Source organism: Homo sapiens, chromosome 13 (assembly GCF_000001405.40).
Source record: "Homo sapiens chromosome 13, GRCh38.p14 Primary Assembly".
Classification (NCBI taxonomy): Eukaryota; Metazoa; Chordata; class Mammalia; order Primates; family Hominidae; genus Homo; species Homo sapiens.
The window spans coordinates 62,538,429-62,565,455 of NC_000013.11; the positions used below are offsets into that span (position 1 = coordinate 62,538,429).

The window sequence follows — 27,027 nt, forward strand, 5'->3', positions numbered from 1 at the left end:
AAACTATTCACTTCCGAAAGCGAATAGCCTTCTTCCAACCAAATCTACCAAACATGCTTATCCGTTTACCCACATTTCTGCCTTTCTTCCTGTTACAGTGAAGAAACTGCTCCTGTTTTAAAGATCATAGCAATTACTTTGCCATGAATCCCATTTTTATTTTCTACTTAGGGCTTTTTCTTAGGTAATGACTCATTCCTTCCTCATCATTTCTGCACTGGAGCATCATTGCCATCAGCATCAAAACAGGTTGCATATTTTACATCTTAAAAATAACAAAACACTCTTTGCCCTCATGTCCCCTCTTTGAACAGACATCTTCCTCTGCAGTAGTGTACAGCAATATTTCTTGTTGGAATTATCTATCCTCACTGACTCTTAGTACCTCGCCTGCTGTTCTCTTATAGATCTGCAAGAATGAGCATAGGTTTCTACACTACAACCTCTTTCAAAATTTCTCTTTTTGAAAAGTTAATGCAGTTTAAAAAGTAAATTTAATTTTTATTTATTTTATAGAAATAGGGTCTCACTCTGTCATCCAGGTTGTAGTACAGTGGCGTAATCATATCTCACTGTAGCCTTGAATTCATGGGCTAAAGCGATCCTCCCACCTCAACCTCCTGAGCAGCTAAGACTATAGGCATGCACCACCATGCCCAGCTAATTTTTAAGTTTTAAATTTTTGTAGAGACAGGGTTTTACTATGTTTCTGAGGCTGGTTTCAAACTCCTGGTTATGAGTCATGAAGAGTGTGGCTGGGCAAGTACTCTGGGTATTTTTCAGTGGCTCTCAAATGTGTAAGAGGAGCCCAAATCTTTGAAGTGCCAGCAAGCCCCCAAAATTTCTTCATTACACCTATCGTTACCTACAAGTGTAGTAGTATGTTAATGTGTATTACTTATTTCCCCTGCTAAAATAAAAATTTCATATTGGCAGACAATTTTGTCTTATTTATTTTTATATATATTGGGCTCATTTCTTATTAAAATTAATTTTTACTTGAATGACTGTCTGAATGTAATATTGTACTACTCTAAATCACATTGGAATTATCAGTTCTTTAAAGATTGTTTGCTTTGAAAACAATTGGGCCTGATAAGATAATTTCCTATAATTTAAAAAAATCATTGTGTTTAAACTGATATCTCTTGGGGTCGAACGTAGGAAAGTATATAGTCTTAGAAAATTGTCCAGTCCTCCTAATTTTAAAATCCATTTGTACAGAGTGGTAGAAAATATAGTCAGAATCATAGTAATGATGTGATTCACCATCCAGAAACTTCTTCAGGAGTGAGGCAATCATTTTGTCAGATGTCAGGAATATTGGTTAAATGGGATACAGCTGAATCCCTCTCCAGTATTTTCTCTCTGTAGAAGAAAGATTCAAATCCAAGTTTACCCCTCCTTGGCAGCAGCCTGCATATGAATGACTAGTTGACAGGGATGTACAAAAGTCTTACCCTCTTTTCTGAAGTGGAAAACTCTGAAAGGCCACCAAGGCTCAGTGCTTACAAATGGATTGGCTGACGCCTCTGCTGCAACATCACTGCAGCTCAGCTTCTATGTTTAATCCTGCTTTCTGTATTTCTCTCAGTCGTCGTTCTTAAAATTAGTCACAGATATATAACCTGTGCCGAAATCTAAAATATAATAGGTTATTTCCTAGTCAAACCAAACTATAACAATTCATACTATAGGTTGCTTTAGGAAGCAGACTCTAAAGTGGGATTTTGAGTTGGATCATTCACCAACCAGCTGGCAGGGAAAACCTCACCATGGCTACAAATACAACATTGATAGCTCCTGACATAAGATTGCAAAGCAATATATACATATTTCATGGGTGGTAAAGTGGGAAGGGAATCACAGTAAAGAGGAATGTGCTAACTATTGAAAGATATTAGGCCTTTGAGTAACTACAGTCATTATAAAGGTCATGGTATCAGATATCTCTTTCCGGATTCTCAATGCACCAGCAACAGACAATGAAAGGCTCAGCATTATTTCTCACAAATGTAAGGTAAAGTGTGATAGCCAGAGAGCCTCCTTGGCAATATATAAGTAACAGAAATTTCCTGCAGCCAGAGAATCAAGCCCAGGACTTAATTGTAAGAGTAATAAGTCTCCAGAACAAGTTGAATTCTCAATCTTGACAGGTCTTCTACAGCAAAACTAAGCCTTAATTGAAAAGATGCAGGGCCCTAAAACTTAAGGTAAGAAAATATGGGTAGATATTCTTGAAAACTGTGAATTTTTAGGTTTCCCTGGAGCCTCTGGGCTGAGAGAAGTAGCTCAAAACAGAATAATAAAAGATAGTACTTCCTCTTTGCTCAATGGTGGTTCAAAACATCTGCACTGCAGGAAAAGTCTGCGACCTTCTCAAGATCTATTCCCACCTGCCCTCCTGGCCACCAGATCAATAACTGGGTAAAGTCACAAAATAACACAGCTGGGAAGTGCTAGTCTTTGTAAAGAAAGATCATAACTATACACTCAAAGAGATGTAGTCATAAGAAACATGTAGTAGCAGGAGCTTTGACACAGAGGTAGCCAATTCAAGTGAAATGGAATAGAAAGTTGTTGATTAGAAAACATTTTGCTGAGTTAAAGAACTTAACTTTCTGGGAGGAAACCCAAAGATACTGCTAGGTTGACTCTTGGCAAAAGTGATTGGCATTTTAAATGAGTTAGAAATGCTTTCTCTTGTATGAAAAATGATAGAGAAAAGAATGAAAATGGTAAGAGATCTACTAACATGGGTCTCCTATAATGTCACATTCTAACAAGGGGCTCACTTTATGGCACAGGAAGTATTGCAATGGGGATAAATTATGGAATCCATAGATCTCATCATCTAATTCATTACTCAGAAGCTGATGGTCAGATAGAAAAATGGAACCATCTTTTGAAGATACAGCTCTGCCACCTCTTTAATAATGATACTCTGCATCCACTTAAACCTAGTAGTAAAGAAATTTGTTTGGTCTTTGTTTAATTATATTATAAAATATTTGCATGTACATTACATGCACACACACACATATATGTGTGTATATATATACCTCCATGTGGATTGTCTTCTTTGTATTATGTTGTCTTGCATTACTTAAGACAGATTTTTTGCATGGTCAACACTTCCAATAAATAATATTTTTAGATGTCCTAGGATATATAAATAATAATTCATTTGTATTTTCTTCTCCATGCTTCTTCTCCCTCTCTAACCTCTACTTTTACCTAATATAAATATTTATACTAATATTTAACTTTAACCACTAAGTTATGTTCATACAGATTTTAAGGAATAATACTTTGACATAGTAACCATTCAACCTGAAGTTACAGCAAGCTTATCTTTTTTTCACCTTTTCTTCATCTCACTCTTCATATTTATTAAGTGCATTATGGTACCCAGTTACCATTAACAAGCTCTGCCGTAAGCAATTCAGACAACTTCTCCAGCATTTAGTGGGTTGTACCTACACTTTCTCCAACAAGATTGAATAGTAGCTTGGGGAGGGGGCCTCCTTCCTTGGGAAGTCTTCCTCAGCCCTGAGATATTTTTTAGAGCTCTATTTCTACCTTTAAAGTTACACCTCTGATACAGCCAATAAATTTGTATATGAAACTTTCTGTGTTCAAATTACTCTGTCTCCTGAATGAATATTGATTGATATGGATGTATCAGGTATTGTTTTCTCTTAGGCATCCTTAGATAAACTTTATACTGAATGTCCTTCCTCTCATTCTAGGGAGAAGTGCTTGATTCAAACTTTTTACTACTTGTAGCTCCAGCATTTTTATTTTCTCCCCATTTTAACCAGCTTCATCTTTAAAAAAAAAAAAAAAATCAGACGTATGTAGAAGCACTTAAAGAAGTATGGTGTTTTCAAATTTTGACTGTGTCCTCATTTTGTTTCAAATGTGTTCATGTAGTTGTTTTCTTTTCTTCTCCTTGTTGCTCTGTATGACCTAGAGAAAGGTAGATGCTGCCATATTCCTATTGGAAGACCCATCCAGTAAAGTTCTTTATTTGATTGGAGACCTATTTTATATACTCTTATTTCTAAAATTTAACTAGTTGGACAAGAGTGTCCAAGGGGAAAGTGAGAAGTTAAGGTTTGTTGCTAGATTTTTTCTGAAATGCTAATAACCACAGATACAGAGTAAAAATGGCTATATTGTCATACAAATTTGGTATAAACAGTATGATTCCAAAATAAGAACCATTTAGTTAAATATAAAATTCAAGCTGTCATTCCTGAAGAGCTTATCTTAGGGGAAAGCCTTGAAGCTCAGACAGGCAATGATGGCAGTAGATAGATAGTGTCCATGTGGAGATGAATTCTCTGGAAACCTAAAGTGCAGAAGGTGAAAATAATTCATGAATATTTTAATAGGTGTAAAAGCACTTATTTAGGTAGTGTGCATACTAAAAAAACACCTGCTGAAGAGCAATTGTTTTCATTCTTTATAAACATAGTCTATTGAATGGCTAGTTCTCTATCACAAACTAGTTCCTAATAAAGGAAACAAAAACACATAAATTGGTATAGAGCATTTAGGTTTACATTAACTACTACTATATAGATTTATTAATTTTTTTCCAACTGGCCTAAATCTTATATTTACTTATAAAGAATATGACTTTAAATTTAGTTTTCTGTTCCTCTGGAAAAAGAATCTCATACTCTTTCCACTATATGTCTTAATTATAAATAATTTTGTTTCTTAGATTAGATGTTTTGTGTCTAAAATTTCTCTTTAATTCTTTTGGGCCTTCTCTGCATCTATAAAATATATAGATAGTGATGTTACATAATATTTAAGATCTACAAAGTTTAAGTTCCACAAAGGATATGGAACTATGCTTTGTCACTATAGCAATGAAAATTTTATAAATTGGAAATATGAATGATAGAAAATATTATACTTGTAGTGGCAGATTTTAGTCTATCCAGAAAATTACTCTGTAACGATGACAAATTATGACTAGGGAATGGACCAACGTTCTGGTTTTAATAATAGACAACTAATAATTATAGAATAATGAATCATGAAGGAAAACATGGAGACTATCAAGGGAATCATATCATTGATGAAAAATTGCAAATTTATACTCTCGTCAGAGGAAGACATTCAAAAGTTGGGAACGGGAAGGGTTGAGGTGAAAAACGAGTTCGTTTTTGGATTTATTTAATTTTATTCACATGGTAGTAGTCTCCTGTAGTCTATTAAGAGTTTGTAGTGAATAAAGATATCCCTTGCCAAAATAAAATGAGAGGCAGATTCCATTGCTGCAATAACCTGCTTAATATAAATCAGAGTCCAAGAATATAATACGGACCAGGTCAGGGGTTGCAACTGAGAAGTAGGGAAATTAAAAATAAATAAAAGAACTAAGCTAGGAAGATAAAAAACCAGTTTAGTAGAAAGAAAATGTGATAGCAACTTCTTCCCAGCTAAGAATAAGTACTAAGTACCCAACATTGTAAAACAAAGATGTTTTCATTTTTTATAGCACCATTATATCCATAGGCTGACAATCACAGTGAATATCGGTAGCGCTAGACAGTATATAGTAACAGGATTGGTAAGGCATAAAATAACAGATATAATGAAATAGAATTAGCAGAACATCATGAATGAGACTGAAACACAAAAGAAAAAAAATACCTATTTGAGGGAGTTTCAGGATATCAGCCCAGTATAGCTGAAAACATTCAAAGTATTTGTCTCTAATTGCTCAACTGGAAAATGACGGGGTTGAGCTAGATATCTCACAAACACTCCAGCTTTAATGTTCTTTGATTCTATCTCAAAAATTAGTAATTTGCTTCATAGGATTTCATATTCAAAGATAGATATCATAAAATACCATAAGAAAAGTGACTATGTAAGAATATAGAGAATCTTTCTTCAGTCTACTTGCTTAAATATATCCCTAAATTTCACTTTTAAAAAGTCGTTGTTCAGGCCCAAGCATGATGGGTCACACCTGTAGTCTCAGCACTTTGGGAGGCTGAAGAAGGAGGATCTCTTGAGCCCAGGAGTTCGAGACCAGCCTCAGCAACTTAATGAGAGGCATCTTTTACAAAAAAAAAAAAAAGTCACAAAATCATGAGACATTCATTGCTTTGTTTTGATTGTAAACAATGAAGCCTGGGGGAAAACAATTAAATATTGTCATAAATTTAATTTAGTTCAACAAACATTTAAGATACTGTACTAATCCCCAGGCTACAAATATGAACATTATATAATTTGGTACCTAAAGTGATTTATAATCTGCTAGCACTATAAAGAAAATTATATTGGTTTAAAAATCTGCTGCAATATATTAGGTCTAAATTAAACTAGGTTTATATAAAATCGGTTTATACTTTAAAATATTTGTATGACATCAAGAATATTCAAGATGAAATGGGTTAAAACCAAAAGGCCAGAGATGTAAAGTAAATAGTAAAATACAAATTAACTGCAGAAAATAATAACATGTGGACAAGGCACTAAGAGAAATTCCTTTTGAAGGAGCACATTTAAAATGCGGTATAAAATAATAAAGACATTTTAAATGCATGGATGATGGGATACGAAATTAAGGTGATGTCCCAAAGCCTGCAACTTTTAAGAAAAATGAAAATCTAAAATAATTTGAATACAATAAAACTTGACTACATTTTGAGACTACCTGTCACCCCCTGGTGGTTTAGAATCTGAACTTTAATGTACAAAGCAGAGGAGACAACAGACGGGTTTTGTTAAAATCAGAGTCTCCAGATTTAAGTTCAGATCCATGAAGGGGATCTGAAAAAGGCGCTCTAATTGCTTGAACTAAAATAAATCTTGTTCCATAGAGAGAGTCATGCTTTAGCTCTTGTTGATCCTCTCCTGGTTCTAAATAAACCACACACTTATGTAGGTGAATTGAATCTATAAATATAGTCCCAAACCCCAACTCTACAGTTTGGTTAAAAGAGAACCCAGGTTGAAGTGCACCTAAGTATCAGGCAAAGGCAAATAAAAAGGTTCTGGAATAATGCATCTTAAAGTTAGGTTGAAAAGAATCCCCATAGAAAATATTTCAGAAATACACTATTCCAGAATAACAAAACACAAGAAAAAAAATCTATTGCAGCTGATAGCTCTCTAAAATGTATGGATATAGAAAATTCTAAAATAAAATTATTTTAAATGTTATACTAAGCAAATCAAAATCTGAACTGGTGTAGTAGGCCAAAGTGTGTTCCCACCCTCTACCTGCAAATTTGTAGGTGGAAGCCCTAAGCCTCCATATGACTATATTAGAGCTATGGTTCTTAAGAAGGTGATTAAGGTTAAATGTCACAAAACGTGGATCCCTTTTAAGAAGACGAAGAGTAACTAAGGCTATCTATCCACCATGTGAGGACCCAGAGAGAAGGCAGCCAACTACAAGCCAGCAATTCAGCTCTAACTAAAAAACCCAGCCATGCTAGTCAACTGACCCGACTTCACATCTAGACTTAGGTCAGACTGATCCAAAAACTGATCTTCCAGTCTCTAGAACTGTAAGAAAATTCATCTCTCTTAGTCTATAGGTGTTTTGTTATGGCATTACAAGCTGACTAATACAGATGGCATATCAGTTTAGGTCAAATCATGAGAAAAAAATTACATAGTAATTTGAAAAAGAGAAGCTTAGTATCAAAATTATTAAGTATAATGGAACATTGGGTTAATGAGTGATTAGAACATAAGAAGAACGCTAAAGAATATAGAATCAAAGATAAATGGAACATCCACTACCAGTAGGATTGAGATAAAACATTCAAGGAAGAGTCTCTGTAACCCATGGCTGAGGTTCAGATACTGCTGAAGAAGGCATGGCCATAGCTGACTGGATGGTAGAGAAGTAAATCACTGTGTTGCTACACTATGAAATGTGCTGAAAATCCACTCTCTAGGGTACCAGGGAAGGACCACGGGGTCTTTGCTACAGAAGATAATAAGATAGATGCTGGAGGAAGACATGGGCTACTCAGTACTGCTGACCACTGTGAAGGATGAGGGGACTAGAGAGGCCAGGTGCAATACATGAGCCAGGGTTGGGAAGAAATCAACACATTCTGTGGAAGCCTGCCAAGTGAGTAAACCGTTTATTCCTACAATGTCTCGTTAGGATACTCCACCTACCAAGATTAACATAGTGCCAACAGAAAAGAAATATATGAGGGCCATATATTTATTTTCACAAAGCAGCAATACAGATACATTTGAAGCAGAGAGGCAATGCATCCATGACTAAAATTCATGGTATAACAGCTATATTGATGTATGAAATCTTAAATAATAAAATTTTTAGCAGAGGTAAACAGTAATGCATAGGAATAGAAATTTCAACTCACTTGAACAGTGTTAACAATTCCAAGTAAATTAACTTTTAATGTACCAAATAAATTAACTTGAAAATATTTGAGGAAAAAGTTAATATAACTCCAAAGAGAAATGAATAGCTCCATAATTGTTGTGGAATAGCTCCATAATTGTGGAATATTTTAACATATTTCTCTTTTTAGTAAAAAGTGAAGAGATGTAATAGTAGTTTGACTGTAAAGGGTTTGAAAGATGACATTAAAGAATACTAAGAGACATACAGAGAACTTTGTATTCCATGCTTGTAGAATATATTTTTATTATTCACAAGGAGTACATGTACAAAATAATTGACTACATACGAGCTAATAGCACAAGTTACAAACTTAGAAATATTGGAGATTACAGAACTTATCCAACCAAAAAAAGTCATTTAGAAAGCAGAAATAAATGAATAACAACAAAGAGAAATTCCATCTATTTGAAAAATAGAATATGTTATCCTCAAGAACGTATGAGTCAAAGAAGAAACGGTAATCAAAATTAAAATATGCTTAGAATTGAATAATTAAAACAGTAAATATCAAATTATGCATAACACCATTAAAGCAGTACTATAGAGGGAAAATACCAGGTATCCAAGTTCCAAGGTTCCTTGAAATCAAAAAACAAAAGGCAGGTGAACTATTTTCTCTGCCAATTGTATATAGAGAATATTAACAGAAAATGTTAGAAAACATGTAGGATCATTCCAAATATTGATGACAACATCTGCAGCATGATATGCAATTGCCATGCATGCCAGGTGAGTTGGTGCTGTGTCCATGTGGGGTCCAATATCACTGCTGAGTCTACAGCAGCTGGTACACAGGGTGAGCAAAAAGTCTTCTTCTCTGAAACACTTGCACAACCTCATTTGGGCCTTGATCTGACTGGGATCTTTAAAGCCAGTTCTCTAGTCTTGCAAAAGGATTCTGTAAGCACAAAGATTTCCTTTCCACAATGTTCACTTCTGTTCTAATCATCCAGAGTCAGCTTCTGTTGCCTGAAACTTTTAATACCGACTGATATCCTTTAGTTCTTAAATTTCTTTAGTTCTTAAATTAGGTTAAATTCTTTAGTTCTTAAATTAGGTTTTCTACTACCTTTCATATACACCAAATCTTCTTCTAGTCTTATTTTCCTTTGGAACAATTATTAGAGTTGATATGTACTAGTAATTATAAACTTATTTCTTTAAAATGTGTCTCCCTGTGAAGTATACTAAGTAATGTCCTTTTTTTTCTCATCACAGTATACCCATTGACTGTCCTCTGTTTAGTTAACTATTTACTTAGTTAAGCAATCCATTATGTGCTGAATGGTCTGCAAAGTTGATGATTCTATAACTTCATATTTATTGAGATCCAATTTACTGAAATTATTGTTTCTTGAAAGGAATATAGGACCTGAACTCAGTTATAGGCTTGAATTTAAACTCTGCCACTAAATAAATGACGGATATTCAGAAATTTATTTATCTCATTTTTAAACCTGTTTCCTTACTTAGAAAATGAACATAATTGCCTCTGAGATGTTTTTCTTGGGAAGTTACTCTGCCCAGTATTTAATTACTTATCAACAGTTTATTTTTCCTTCATAACATCCTTCTTGATGTTCATTGATCATTCAACAAACTTCAGTAGATTAATGTGTGAGTCCAATTCTGTATTTCTTGCTGACATATTTTTCTTTTTATGTGCTTTAACTCTATAGATTTTATTGATCATGTAACTCTTAAGTAAAGATCAAAGTTCTCTTCCTGAGTCAACTAAATGGTCTTGTGAGAGATGGGACCTATATTTATAACCCGACGTACACTAGCAAAGCAACTATTCTTAATGTTACCTTAATCAGAAATTCTACTGTTTTTCTTTAAATTTATTCAAATAACTAATTTTATTTGGTATGCTTTATTGATCTGATCCAAAATATTTTGCCTGTTAACATAAAAACTATATGTAATTTTTTAACTATGAAGTCTTCCTTAAAAAATTTAATGATTTGTTGCTTATATATAATTAAAATATTAATTGTTATATGAATTTTAATTATTTCTATTAGTTTTCAAGACCTGGAAACAAAAAGAATAACATTAAAGGTAGAAAACATATATTCTAGGACTTTTCTCTCTTTGTATAAGTTAGGAGCTCAGAGTTCCTGGCTCAAATATCTTCTTTCAGACACCCAAGGGGATAAAAATCATACATCCTCTTATATCTTTTTAATATCTATAATTCTTTCTTTGATATTCCCTGCCAAGGAAACACTGGGCACACTATGTCATGATTGTATTGCTTCTGGTGCTAAGGTGAGCTCTATCAGCATCTTCCAAAAAGCCCACGTTATCTGAAGTAGTGTAGTAAATGCCTTCCTATACTAGTTTTACTCCTTATTTGCCTTTTCAAAATTGCCCCCAAATTAATTATTATCACAAATAAAATTAGTAAAACCACAACATTCACAATATCAACAAAACAATAGAATACTTAGAATAAAATCAAAAGAAGTTCAATTTTAAAATGGGCAAAATATTTGCATAGACATTCTATGCAAATCATAAAGTTCATATATGAATAGGAAATAGACACATGAAATGAGGTGTCACCGTAGAAAAGGGGTTCCAAACCTCAATGAGCTATCACTGTACACCCACTGGACTGGCTATTAAAAAGGACAGACACTACAAAATATTGGAAAGGATGGAGGGAAATTGAACCAATTATTCATTGCTGGCAAAAATGTAATATATTAATTTTACCTTGGAAAATAGTTTGGCAGTTTCTTAAGTTGGTAAATATAAACTTGCTATATGACCCAGCAATTCCTCTCCTAGGAATTTAAGAAAAACATAAACATACACCCCCACAAAGACATATGCACAGATTTTTACAGCAGCATTCTTTATAATTTTAAAACTGGAAATAACTGATATGTCAGTTAATTGATGATTGAATTTAAAAACAGTATATCCATCCAATGGAATATTATTGAGCAATAACAGAAAATAAACTTCTGTTACATGCAGTAACATGGATGGATCTAAAAAACTATGCTGAGCGAAAGTATCCTAATGCAAAAGATCACATATTATATCATTACATTTTTATGAAATGTGCAGAAAAGGCAAATCTATACAGACAAGTACAGTAGTGGTTTTCTGGGTTGTGGGTGCAAGCAAGATTAACTGCAAAAGGTCACAAGATAATATTTAGTGTGATGGAAATATGATAAAATTAGATTGTATTGGTGGTTGTACAACTCTATAAATTTACTTAAAATTTACTCGTTAAATTTTACACTTACAAGAGATGAATTTTATTTATGAAGAAATACCTCAATAAGGCTATTATAAGATACAAATATGCACAGTATCATGGTATTTATACTTCTATATATTAGAGCAACTCATATAAATATTCCTTTTGTTTATAGTCCCTGGCTCCATAAAAATTCAGACACCAATTTTGAGATTGGGAGGTAAGATATGGTCAGGTATATTTGGGCAAAATAGGAAACCAATACCAAATCTTACCTTTCTGTATTTTTCCTTCCCCCCGAGAATTCTGAGCAAACACTTTGATGAAAATCAACATAATATCTATGGGAGAACACTAAATAGATGGAGGCCTAGTTGAAACAATATTGACCATGAGTTGATAATTGTTGAAGCTGGGGAAATTTTATGGTGATTCATCATACTATTGCCTTTACTTTTGTATGTTTTTGAAATTTCTCATACATCGTGTTTAAATATATAATAAAATAAAACGATAAAAGAATTATTTATTATACATGCTCAAACCTGATTGATTTTACACTTTAGGTTCAAGTTAGGCCCCCTACTGTATACTTGTACTGATTCAATGTCTCAAAATAACATTATTTTACAAGGCAATAAGGCAATTATCACAAGAGTTATCTATTTTATTTATTAACCATTCTATCATTCTATGTCAAATATGACAAAATACTCTTTACTAACATTAAAGATAAAAATGGAAGTACAGCAGAAACTTCCCTTCATTGACTTCTGAAAGTAATGCTGCCAAGATTCAAAGAATTAGTTAAAAACACATTCCCTCTTTAGCTTCATAAAGACTTTCAAGGTATTTGTGTTTTTATGGTTAAACATGATATGTTAGACTATGTTGGACTGTCAATGCTCAGGAACATACCAGAGAAGTGTTTGCTTTGCTGTTATTGCTTACCCTGTTCTATCACACATTCTCCTTTTTATTCCATAACATCACAGCATGACTGGAAAAAAAGAATCACATAGTGATCTCTGAAGATTTCCTCCCTAAATGCTATAGGGTAGATCAAAAGACATCCTTGAGAACTGTATTTCCTTTCCTGGATGAAAGAAGTAGTAGAAAAGAAACAAATCCCTATTTGGGGAAGAGGAACATTGCTTTGGGGTACAAAAGTGATTGATGATTCCTCATCAACCCTGAGAGGCAGTTGTATGTTTGAGCTCAATAAGATCTGACAGGAATTGATGCTTCTGACTCAAGCCTAGTTATCAGAACTAACTGATGCTGAGGGATTTGCTTTTTGCCATGACAGTTCTGCTTCAGCATTCACAGATCCACTAGAGCTGCAGGCAAATGTTTTACTCTATCTCCAGGGATAGCCTAATAGTTTACAGGAAACTTATCTTCCATTAGCCAAATATTCTACTGCTGTAAACCTAGGCTCTGACTTTCCTGAGGATCATGTGTCGTGCAAATGTTGTCAGGGTGTAAAGAGTCACAGGTTTGCCAGATCTCAAATGTATACCATGTTATGTCTTTGAGGTGACAGAAAACGGAAAGAGTATTAAATTTAAGGACCCGGAAGTTTTTTCACCAAGTGTAACCGTGGATAGTCAGATCACTTTAGCTATTTCATTCACATGACACATTAAGAGCAACTCTTCCCATTCGCCAGCAACTGCCTTGCATAGATGTGTCAACATAGCTTGAAGCTAGATGTTATCTCCTCTTCACTTCGGGACACAGCAAAGATGTCTTAGAATGTTAGGATTCCCATAATGGGGTGGGATTAAAAGCTTTGGATGAGAAGTAAGCTGGACTTCTATATATTCTTTACAGCAGTTTTAAAGCTAGAGCATTTCAGCTCCTGGGATGAACTAGAAAACATTAATTATGCCCTAAATATTGTTGACATACTCTAGTTACTAGAAAATTCTGTTTAAAAAAAAGTGAGGCAAAATTGCTCTAGATGTTCAAGACATCATTTAAAAAACTAAGTGAAAATCATTATGAATATCTGATTTATAGTATATAGTAGCCTAATTATTCAAAGAAATAAAAATATGTATACAATGAATAAATTGACTTGAGTTTGATTTCTGTATTCTTCATTATGAAATCTGCAGCTCAGAACAATGTGCTCTCAGTTACTTGACAATTTCTTCTTCTGTGTGTATCAGTGCAACAGCTCATCCCTTACTCTGCTAAGGTTTTCATAAGGATCTCATCTTTTTTTCTCTAATCCTATAAATAATTTTCACTTAGTTTGTAATATTTATAGCATTACACTAAAATAAACTGATTATATTTCAATTTATTCTACAAGATGGTATGTTTCAGTCATAGTAATTAATAATTATTTGCAGAAATGGCTTTTATGTCCACTGGAATAATCATAGAGAATTTGGCATTGCCTGAATTCTATCTATGGCCCAAAACTGGACTTGGAGCAATACTTACTTTTCATTGACCTGTATAAAATAATTCATGTTTTCTAAATTCTAAAATATTTTTGGTCTTCTTTAAATCTTTTTCAGTTTTTTTTTCTTTAGTATTGGGAAACATATTTTAATGTACTCACCATGGGTCTCTGGGGTTCAAATCGCTTTTGCATCTTCTAAGATCCTGGGCAAAACAAATTTCAAGCTTCTTTTGTTCATAGAATTTTTTGATCATTTGGATGTTTTATCTTTTGGGTCTTTGGAAGTCCCTGTATTCTTTACCTATTGGATTGTTCCTATCATGAAAAATCTCTTATTCTTATCATTTTCCAAAAATTACACTAAATATATTGTGTTCATATAATGATTTATACTGCAGAATCAATTTATTAAATATTGACTTATTTAAACATCTCTGAAATACTATAATGATGAAACAGAAGTATATAAATGACCTGCTTGATGTCATATAATAAGTAATAGATTCTGGATTCAAGCCTTGGCCCTTTGTTCCTAAACCATTTTTACTCCAAGAATAAATCTTTGTCCCTTGATCCACAGTTACTTCAAGAAATAAATCTTTGTATGCTTTTGGTATCAGTGTTTTAATGGCCTCATAAAATGAGCCAGAATCTGCTTCCTCCTCTCATTTCTGAGAGAATTGGATAAGATTCCACTTATCTTTTTATTGAATGTCTGTTACAACATGCCTTAAAACTCTCTAAGCTCAGTGTTTCTTTGAGGACAGACTTTCAATGAAGACCATTTATTTAATGATATAGGTTCATTTAGTTTTTCTCTTCTTTGTGAGTCAGTTGTGCCAATTTATGTATTTTTAACACGATTATCCTTTACGCTTATTTTCTAAATGTATCAGGCATAATTTTTTTCATAATACTTTTAAATTTTCTAATATTTGTTGAAACTTTTATGTCTCCCTCCTTTTATCATAATGTTCCAGCTCCAGAGCTGGCTTATCTCTCTACCTTCTAATTATCTCTGATCACCGAAAATAAGTATTTACTTTTCAGAAATACTAATGATTAATTTAAAACCAAATGTTTGGTGATTTTTAATATGCATTTTAGCCATAATGTTACATATACTAAGAAGACATTTAAACACCTGATCCACAATTATACTATAAAGAAACTTATACTATTTCCTTTGGAATATTATGTGCTTCAGGGCATTTCTGAATTCATAACTTGTTGTATTGGCTACATTAAATTTCTGATGGTCAGCTGTTTACCTGATATTCTATTATTGTGCTTTACATATCATTTAAGTGTCAAATTACTTTTCTCTAGCGGAAAATCATAATTTCTAGATGTTATAACTTTATTTAAAAGTTCAAAATTATTGGGATTTTTTTGTAGAAATTTGCCACAGAAGAAATAGAGCTGCAACATGAAATTCAGAATCTTTGAAATCATTTACACATATTGTTCCATAAAGCCAAGTGGAAAACTAAGCTGATTGCAGCCTGAATGAGCTGAATAAACTACTTTTACTTCTTGTCATATTCAAACTTGGTAGCCTTTTGTGTAAACTGGTTCACAACACATAAATGTTGCATATGTCCATTCCAGATTAAAAAAAAAAATTAACAAATCTCAAGAGTAGCAACTTGTCCTTCAATTTGAAGATGATATTTTACCATAAACAGAAATTTAAATGAGGTGGCTCTAGTTTGTGCATTGGTTTCTTATCACATTGTTTGGAATGGGTGTATCTCACCAGGACTACCTACTTTTTCTCACACACGATTTTATAAACATTTTGCATCCATGAAGAGGAAGTGTCATAGCCTTTAGAGAGAGAAAAATCAGTTTCTGTGGAATAAGATTTGATGGCACAGGATAATCCCTAGATATGATGGAAAAAGCATAATGTTGTCCTCACCATGTAAAAGTAATTTTTTAATATTATATCAACTTTAATCAAATTAAGAAAATATTATTTTGCCAATCCAATAGCTACATGATATTTTCTATGTGTATTTTTTCTAGAAAAGAAATAAAAATTCTGATAAGTAAGGAAGGAAGTTGCATCCAGTGAAGCAGAAAACAAACAAAAAGACTCTGATGCTCTGAAAGCTGATTGAAAGAAGAGTTACAAAGAGGATGGAAATATCAATTTCAGTAATTGCTATGAATAGGTCAAGTAATAAAGGATTGACAATTGATAATTAGGTTTAGAAATACTTAGATCCTTGGTAACCTTGATAAAAACAGTTAAATAAACTGATGGGGGTATCTGAGTAGAGTAGGAAATACATTCTTTAAATACATTGAATACATTGGATATAATCATAGCAGACTAATATTTTAAAGAGTTTTGCTTAAAGAAAAAGAAAAAGTATGAAAAGGAGTGGGAAATGATAGAGGTAGTGGGGAGGAAAGATGTATTATTGTTAATGTGCATGTTTACATGCTGATGGCAAAATCCAATGTAGGAGGAAACTTGATAGTGGTGGACAGAATGAGATTTTTTGTAGTGAAGTTTTTTGTATAAGCAAGAGAAGAAGTAATAGTAATTAGAATAAAAACAGGTGTTAGATAAGAAAATCTATGGGACTCAATTTGGTCTGTTCAACATTTGAATTTCTTCCTATTTCAATCTTTGTAGTTTGTTTCTAACTGGAATTCCACTAATTCCATAGGAATTTCTCTAACTAGAGGGGGTGTACAAATTCCTTTAATTTTAGAGTTATTTGTTGACTGGAATTACAATTAGTACACTTCCTCCAGATTTTCTGGTTTGTGTACACAGAACTGTTCTCAATAACTAAGGATCTTTTGTATTTCTGCAGGGTTAAATTTAATGTCAAATTCTGTCACTTCTGATTATGCTTATTTGTATCTTCTCTCTTTTTTCTTTGTTGATCTAGCTAGCAGTCTATTAATCTTGTTTATTTTTTCAAAAAAAAAATCCTGCCTTCATTAATCTTTGTATGGATTTTTGATTCTCACAAATTGTATCAGTCATAAAAACTACCAACCTAAAAAGCCCTGGAGCAGATGGATTCACAGCCAAACTCTGCCAGACATACAGAGAACAGTTAGTACCAATTCTGCTGACACTATTCCAGAAATTTTTTGGAAAAACTCCTCTTTAACTCACTCTATGAAACCAGTGTCACTCTGATACCCAAACCAGGCAAAGACACAATTAAAAAAAAAAAAAAAAAAAACTATAGGCCAATAACCCTGAAACATAGATGCAAAAATCCTCAACAAAATACTAACAAACCAAATGCAGCAGCACATCAAAATGTTAATTCATCATAATGAAGTCAGCTTTATTACTGGGATGCAAGGTTGGTTCGATATACACAAATAAATGTGATTCACAACATAAAGAGAATGGAAAACAAAAACCAGCTAAAAGGGCTTTTGCATAGCAAAAGAAAAATATCAACAGAGTAAGCAGACAACCCCAAGAAAGGGAGAAATATTTGCAAACTATTCATCTAACAAAGGTCTAATATCCAGCATCTAAAAAGAAACTAAATCAACAGGCAAAAAAAAAAAAAAAAAAAAAAAGAAATAAAATAAAAAGTTAAAAAGTGGGCAAAGAAAATGAGCAGACATTTCTCAAAATAATACATACAAGTGGCCAATAAACATATGAGAAAATACTCATCATTAGAGAAATGCTAATCAAAACACAATGAGCTACCAACTCATGCCAGTCAGAATGGCTATTATTAAAAAGACAAAAAAAACAAAAACAAAAACAGATGCTGGCAAGGCTGTGGAGAACACTGTTAGTGAGAATGTAAATTAGTTTAATCACTCTGGAAAGCAGTTTGCAGATTTCTCGATGAACTTAAAACAGAACCATTCAACCCAGCAATCCCATTACTAGGTATGTATCCACAGGAAAATAAATTGTTCTGCAAAAAAGACACATGCACTCATGTGTTCATTGCAGCACTATTCATGATAGTGAAGACAACATATCAACCTAGATACCCATAAAGGGCAGATTGGATAAAGAAAACATAGCACATATACACTGTGGAATACTACGTAGCCATAACAAATGAAATTATGTCCTCTGCAGCAACAAGGATGCAGCTGGAGGCCATCATCCTAAGCAAATTACCAAAAGAACAGAAAACCAAATACTACATGTTCTTACTTATAAGTGGGAGCTAAACATTGGGTGCATTTGGATATAAAGATGGGAATAGTAGACATTGGGGACTACTAGAGGGGAAAAGGGCTGAAAAACTACCTACTGTGTACTACGCTCACTACTTGAGTGATGGGATTTTTCATGCCTCAAACATCAGCATCTTGCAGCATACCCATATAAAAAACCTGCATCTGTGTTCCCTGAAAGTGAAATAAAATTTGAAATTATAGAAAAGAAAAACTATGGTATTATAGAGAAACCAAAATAAGTTTGGCAAATGTGTTTTTGTGAGTTAGTGAAAGTTCTTATGGAGAGTAATTGGTGAAACAAAGTTGAGGTTTGGTGAGGTAGGAGAAAAAATAGATATTAGATGAGACAGAAAAAGTGAATATTTTCTAATCAGACATACAAATGTCAGGAATCTTTTCTAGTTTCAAATTTTCTTAATAATAAAGGTAGCTATGAGTCACAGGTAACTATGTGTCATAGGCAAAGCACAGAGAAGTCTGAGACTCCTGATGCATATTCATAGTTTCCTTTCCTTACATTAGCATGTGCCCTGTTTCAGATTTAACATGTGAGGTCATTAAGTAATACATGTCATACATCACTTACACAAAAAAGCTAGTTTGCTTATAAAATATCTCCGTATTAAACTCTTATACATAGCTGACACTAATATTTCCCATAGGCCATGTTCCATAAATTTATAAATTATAAGTTTATTTTTATATATCCCATAAAAAATTTGATGAGAATGTTTACAAGGAGTTTTGATTATATCTTTTTTCTCTTTTTTGTCTCATTTCACTGACATCACCAAGTTAGGAAGGATGGATTATACGCCGTCTGCTAACATCCTGCTAATAAAATCTGTCAAATATTGTTTTAAAGTAGAAAAAATAATCCATTCCTCTGTCTTGCAAAATGCCTATTATTTTGTCATTTAGCAGTAAAAATGGAAATGTCTCATTACAAATCAGTATTTGTTTATTAAAAACTGCTAGGGGATGATTTTGAATGGACTTCTCTACAAATATACAGGAAAATAATAAATACTAGTCATTTTCTGTCAACTGTATCTCATATTTGTTTTCTGTACATATTGTTATAAATATGGATGAATTATTTTTTAGATATTTGTCAAGAACAGTGAAGAGTCTGAGACTGCACCATTCTTACAGGCTGACAAGTTATCCTGCCTCAGTTACTTGAATGCTGGCAGACAACAAAGAGATGCTTGGGAGAGGAACAAAGGATAGCTTCATACTCACTGCAATAGCAGTGACCGGAGTCAGAAATCCCAACTTTAAGAAAGCCAAATATTTGTGTGGAAAGAAACATGTCTGCCCTTTATTTATAAAGGAAAAACTCTCATTTTCAAGAATATTTGCTCTACTAACATCCTTGGAAAGACAGTTCAGAACAAAGACTGTTCACAAGACAAGCAGAACAGAGAGAGACCCATTGGTTAATTTTTCTCCCAAGAATATTATGGTGTTCTTTGATTTGTGTATGTTACCACCCTTAAAAGGACAATACTATAAACAAGTTTCAAAGAAATAGATCTGCCTATGTGTCACCATAAAACAAATGATGTGGCTTCAATTCTAATGTCTGCTAGCGTGAATTTAAGTTATTTCATTATCTCATTATTGTATTTTTTTGCTTCAATACAGATTTGGCAGGATGCATTTTTCTTCAATTTGATACAACTCTTTTTTTTTGTTTCCCATCACCGCCCTATGAAGAAATGTTCCCTGAAAGGTATAAAAATGACAGCGTTCTGTTAGTGTAACATCAAAATTGGCTTTGAAGACCCATAGATGTTAACAAGAAAAGGTTTGTTTTGGACTAAGATCTTGTTTTATAAAAATATTTCAATATTGTCCTATCTGAGTAAGTCAACATAAGCAAGAAAACAATGTGCTTTACCAAAAGAGTCTGTTGGCAAAACCAAATATTAAGTATTAATCTGATAATACTTAATACTTAATATTCTGATAAGTTATATCAGCAAGAGAACATTTTTCTTATCTTAAAAAACTAAATATGTAAAATCTAAATGAAATGGAATCTTCTCCAGCTTAGCATGAGATGTCAGGGTTTTTACTAGATGAGTAAAAGTAACCAAGAGTCAGGACTGTGGTGATTAGATAGGCAAAGGGGCTAAAAAAATCACATATGCAGAATAACCAAAAAGAATTTTCTGACAATGTCATTGCAAGCGAGATCAATGAAATGTGGTTCGTATGTTTGTATTACATAAACAAGACTGTACATCTTTAAGGTTGCTGAATTTCTTTCATGCATAAGAAAGAATATTACTGAACACTCTATGAGACACGTCTAATGATGCCCTCTGTGCTGTGAGATTCCGGGTCCCTAAAACTCAAGATTTCTTTGAGAGCTTGCAGAAAGATTATCTTGAGTATGTAACTTTGACTTGTGGGTTGAACAGCTAAGGAAATATCACATGATTAGAATGTCTTAGGAACAGAGAAAAGCAGGTGGATTATAAAGTGGATGTCAGGTCCTATATAAGAACCAAGAAGGTATGGTTGAGTAAGGTGTATCAGTGAAGAGATGTCAGTACAGCAGGGTAAAGAGATCTGGATAAGGAATAAGTGAGAAATAGCATCACAATGTAAGACCATAAAGGAATTGGTTGAAATCTTGGAAAATTGAAAACTCTGTAACATCAACATAAAACTTAGAGTCTACCACCCTGAGAAAAAGGATACATTTGCAAAGGAGAATATCGGGATGCACCAGGCTTTAAGAGGCTAACTTTTGGAATCTTTCAAAATCCTAACAGAAAACACTTTCAAGTTGGAGAAAGAGTATTACTTAAATATATTTCCAACAATATCACTTTACTATTTTACATTATGTGGTTGTATACACTGTCTTTAGTATGTAATAAAACATTTGGTCTCAGAATATAATTTCTTACTATGGTATTGGTGTCCTCATGCTATATTTTCCACATGCCACAGATCAAGACATGATATACTTGCAGGTGCATTGAATCTATGTAATTTTGAGAAGCCTGTTGAATTTTTTTAGTGAGTAACCTGCAAAGTCTAGAAAAGCGCCTCTCTCTTGTTAAATTGAAAAGTAGTATAATTGTAATAGTAAATGTGATTATTAACAATATACTGTGCTTTCTCAAAAAAAGAAGTGAAGCATTGGGATGAATGAAGGAATCCCAGTTTGACTCAATATTTTATAAATCAAATCTGGGAGTTAATCAAAAGAATTATTACCATGTCTTTGAATTCCCATCTGTACCACACCACTGTCAGCATGACAAACATCATCATTAACGTTAACATCACAAGCACCACCAGGAAAATATCCCTTTGTATCACACGTTATTATTCAAATGATAGTAAAAGAATGATTTTATTTTTGGGTAAGCTGATAAAATTGCAGAGGATTGCTTAAAACCTGCAAAACAAAAATCATCCTCCCATGAAAGATAGTTAAATATATGGATATTATAAAAACAAATGTTATTCAACAAGGTAACACCCTTTTCCTCTTTGATTATAGTAATCGTAAGTCTAGCAATACTATTCAGTTTCCATTACAGTAACAGAATCAATGATAAAACGGAAGAAAAAGATGATGATGAAAAAGAAGGAGTAAGAGGAGGTGGGTAGGAAAATCAGAAAGAGGATGAGGAGAAAGAGGATGAGGAGAAAGAGGAAGAGGAGTTTGAGGAGAGGGATACAAAAAGGAAAAAAAGCTGCTAGGAGTTTTTGAGCATTTATCTCCATGCCATGAATAGTATAAGGCATTTTTGCATACATTAACCAACTAGATTCTAATAAAAACTACTATCTGGGATATACACTTTCATTCTGTACAGAAAAAGAAACAATTAACAAAATGAAGAGGCAACCCACAGAGAGAAAGAAAATATTTGCAAACCACAATGTGTGCTAAGGGGTTAATATCCAAAATGTATAAGGACTCAACACTACAGTAAGAAAATAAAGAATCCAATTAACAATGGCACAAAATATGACTAGACATTTCTCAAAAGTAAACATACTTTTTACTTTTATTGGAAATAATACTCACCAAATTAAAACCTCATATGTGTTAGAATGAATTAAAACCTCAATGAGATAAACCTCACACCTGTTGGAATGATTATTACAAAATGATGAACTAAGTGTTGGTGACAATGTAGAAAAACAATGAGAGGGCAGACAACAGGAACCCCTGAACACTGTTGGTGGGAAGGGAAATTAGTAGAGCCATTATGGAAAATCGTTGAAGTTTCTTCAAAAATCAAAAGCAAAACTACCATATTTTCCAGCAATCCCACTCTAGGTGTTATATCTAAAGGAATTGGAATTCATATGTTGAAGGAATATCTGCACTGTCATGTTCATTGCAGTATTATTCACAGTAGTGTATATATATATATATACACACACAATATATTGTGTATATATATATACACAATATATTGGTGTTTATATATATACACAATATATTTGTCTATATATATATATACACAATGAAATGCTATTCAGCTTTTCAAAAAAGAATTCTGTTATTAATGACAACATGGGTGAAACTGGGGGATATTATGTTAAGTGAAATAATGCATCACTGGAAGATAAATATTACATTATGTCACTTATATTTGAAATCTTAAAAAGCTGAACTCATAAAATGAAGTGTAGAATGATGCTGGTCAGAGTACAATGTTTCAGTTGGACAGGAAAAATAGTTTTGAGATCTATAACCCAGCTTGGTGACTGCAGTTAATAACAATCCATGCTATATTGTCATGTGCTGCATAATGACATTTCAGCCAACTGTGGACTGCATGTAGGATGGTGGTCCCTTAAGATTATAAAGGAGCTGAAAGATTCTTATTGCCTAGTGATGTGGTAACCCTCATAATGTCATGGTATAATACATTATCACGTGTTTGTGGTGATACTGTTATAAACAAGCCTGCTGAGCTGGCAGTCATATAAAAGTATAGCATGTGCAATTATGTATGGTATATCATGCTTGATAATGATAATCAGCTATGTTTATGCACTGACTATACTATATTTTTATTATTGTTTTATAGTGTACTCCTTCTTATTTACAAAAGAAAAGTTAACTATATTACAGCCTCAGGTAGGGACCTCAGGAGATATCCCAAAAGAAGGCATTGTTATCATAGGAGATGACAGCTCCTTGTGTGTTTTTGCCCCTGAAGACCCTCCAGAGGGACAAGGTGTGGAGGTGGAAGGCAGTGATATTGATGATCCTGACCCTGTGTAGACCTAGGATAATATGTGTATTTGTGTCTTACTTTTTTAACAAAAAATCGTAAAAAGTAAAAGAAAATACAAATACAAGTTTTAAAAATAGAAAAAAAAAAGCTTATACAATAAAGATTTAAAGAAAGAAAATATTTTATAGAACTGTACAATGTGTGTGTGTGTAAATTTTAAGCTAAAAGTTATTACAAACGAGCGAAAAAGTTTTTAAAGCAAAAAAATTTACAATAAGCTAAGGTTAATTTATAATTGAACCAAAAAAACTATGCTATTAAGTATGTAGTTCAAGTGCACAGTGTTTTTAAAGTCTACAGTAGTGCACAGTAATGTCCTAGGCCTTCATATTCACTTGCAACTCACTCACTGACTCAGCCAGAGCAACTTCCAGTCCTGCAAGCTCCATCCATAGTAAGTGCCTTATACAGGTGAATCATCTTATATATTTTACACTGTATTTTTACTGTGCCGTTTCTATGTGTAGACACACAAATACTTGCCTTGTTACAATTTCCTATATTATTCAATCCACTAACTTGCTGTACACATTCATAGCCTAGGAGCTATACCATACAGCCGAGGAATGTAGTAGGCTATACCATTATGTTTGTGTAAATAACACTCTATGATGTTCACACAATGATAAAATTTCCTAATAACCCATTTCTCAGAACTATCCTCATTATTAAGGTATACACCAAGAGAGTACATTTCAAATGTCTCACCAAAAAAAATAAGTGAGATGATGGATATATTAATTAGTTTTACTTAATCATTTCACATCATATGCATATATAAAAATATCACATTGAACCCCATAAATATATACAAATATGATTTGTTAATTTAAAATAATATTAATGTTATTATCAGTTATCAGTTAAGTTTGTGAGCAGATTTAAAGATGTGCTTATTGATGTTTCTTGGGCTAATGCCTGTTATCTGATCATTGCTTTTGTTCTTGGCATCCTTACACACTATACCTGCTGAAAAATATAGACGCATCATCCTAAATTCTACACTGTTTTATTTTCCTTTTTATTATTATTTTTTTAATTTGGAGATCCAGAATTGAAACTCGTGCTTATCCTAACTCGTGTAGACTTTTTGCAAATGCACTATCACTACCACTGTGTTGTTAAACACCCTTGCTTCCTTGCTCCAGTGTCAGAACTGTGGTTGAATTTTTGGCAAAAATTATCAGAAGCAGCCTTTAACAGTTTCTATCAACTTTTAAGTTCAGGGAGTATTTGGAGTGGTTTTGTGTGATTTTCTGGAATGGAATTTAGCCAGAAAACTATTATTTTTATAGTTATATTGAGAAATAGCTCAGAACAGCTTTAAGTACTAAAACAGAGCCAGGAAGTCATTTAATAGCACCTTCAATATCTTGATTCTCACCAACACCAAGTTGGGACTTAGGAAAAGTATGTATGAGTGAACTCTCCTGAATCACTGATCCCACTTATTGCACTAACTGATGTTCCCTTGGAGGTTTCCCATCTACTCAATTCACTCAGCCAAGTTTATGAGATGTGACAGGTTTGTAGTGCAAGGAGATGTCTGCTATTTATATAATAGCGAATAAAATTTGACTGTAAACTTAAGGAAAGTTTTGCAAAGATACTTTCTTTTTCTCTAATTTTCTGTGCTTTATTTTATGTGATTTATACTCAACTCCACCCACCCTGACATAAAACTCACTTTCTCTATTAAAAAATATCAAAGTGTTTGAAATAGATGTGCTTAAAAAATAAGAAATGGCTTCTTTTGTATGTGAATGGTATCACATAAGTAATTTTTACATAACCTTATATGAACCGAAAGTTAGAAACAATGTTTATAAAATTAGATGTGTTCTAACAGCTTTTTATATTTTCCCCAGTGTTCTATTTATTAGAATAGTTAACTTCAGTGTGAAGATAACTATGTATCTTATCTCCTTAGAAAACAGAGCAAAGAAGGCATTTTGATGGCAAATATCTACTTGTTAGTTTTTGTTTGTTTGTTTCTGTTTTGTTTTGTTTTTCTGTCTGAAAGCATTATTATTAGTCAACTCAAGTTTGGAAGCCATTGTTTGGAGAGTGTTGGTACCAATATTGGTGTCAGTACTTTTAATGAGCTTTTAATGAAAAATGTAATTTATCTCTATTTCATTGTTTTACCTTCATATTCACAAGATTCTAGAAAAATAAGAAAATTTCTAATTATTAAAATAATGCCCTTCCATCCCATGCCAGTCTTTAACAGTAAACAAATATTTACAGATTGGCTTTAAAAAGCCATTTTTTGTTTGATTTTTATGGCTATTAACAGGACCCCATGTGGGAGAGCCTTTTTGTGTGGCAGGTTGCAACCACAATCACTAAAAGATAATTCCAAGCCTACTTGTTTTATCCATACAGTTGGTTTAATCACAAATGGCTGGCTTAAAATTAAATGCCAGATATACTTTAAATTTCATATAAGGTATGAAATTTAAAAAACATGAAAATTTAAGGAGAGAGTGATAGCTGAGACAGCTAGGGAGTAAGGCTTTAAAACATACAGTTCTGGGGTGGTAGTCTTTCCCTCCGCCCTAGCACTTTGAAGATATTATTTCAATGTCTTCAGGCTTTCATTGTTTATGATGATAAGTCACACTCATTTGAAATGTTATTATCCTGTATGAAATGCAATTTGCCTTCAGTTTTACATTGCAACTATTTGACCATATATGTAGGTTGCTTTCTTTGTGTTCATTTTGCTTAGGTTTCACTGTGTTTCTTAAATCTCTAAAATTAAATCTTTCATCAAAAGGGAAAAATTCACAGCCATTATATATTTCTTAAAATATTGTTCTTCCTGTCACATATTCCCTTTTCTTGCATTCTGCAACTCCAATTACGTGCATGTTCGAACTTAATACTGTCCCATACGTTTATGACACTCTAATCATTTTTCAATCTTTTCTTTCCTCTATTCTTTTATTCTGTCTGTTTTCTTCTTTTTGCTCTCTGACTCTTTTTTTCCTGTTTTACTGTTTTCTATTCTGTGTTTTAATTGCTACATTTTCCCTTGTTACACATACATGTTATATCCTTAATCATTGTTAAAAGTACTTTAAAGTCTTTATCTACTAATTTCAAAATCTGGGTCATCTCAGGATCAGTATTCATTAGTTGTCCCTTTATCAAGAATCACATTTTCCTTTCTCTTCTTATGTAGAATAATTTTGGTTTGTATCCTGGCATTATCATCTACATATTGCAGGGAAATTTTAATTGTGTTGTAGTTTATGTGCCCAAACTGCAAACTGTGTCCCTTGTTGTGGGAAACAGCTGAATTTTAAAGTTAGTTTTATAGATATAGTTGAGGATACCTGCCATCTGGGATGAATATTCATGTTTTAGAGATCAGACAGAGATTTAGAAAAGATTACGCATAGAATTTGGTGCTTCCCCTCCCTGGAAGTTTCCTTTTCAAGATTTCTCTCCACACTTTTAATGT

The 27,027-nt window shown here is 33.0% G+C and overlaps 1 long non-coding RNA gene across 1 annotated transcript in view; it reads right to left on the minus strand.

The window, feature by feature from the left end:
• Positions 1 to 929: 929 nt before the first annotated feature.
• LOC105370232 (uncharacterized) overlaps positions 930 to 27,027 on the minus strand; it is a 35,548-nt gene continuing 9,450 nt past the window's right edge. The window contains exons 2-3 of the long non-coding RNA XR_942011.3: positions 1,461 to 1,640; positions 930 to 1,368 (exon numbers count right to left, since the gene is read on the minus strand). This is a non-coding gene — a long non-coding RNA (uncharacterized LOC105370232). The remainder of the gene's footprint in view (positions 1,369 to 1,460; positions 1,641 to 27,027) is intronic.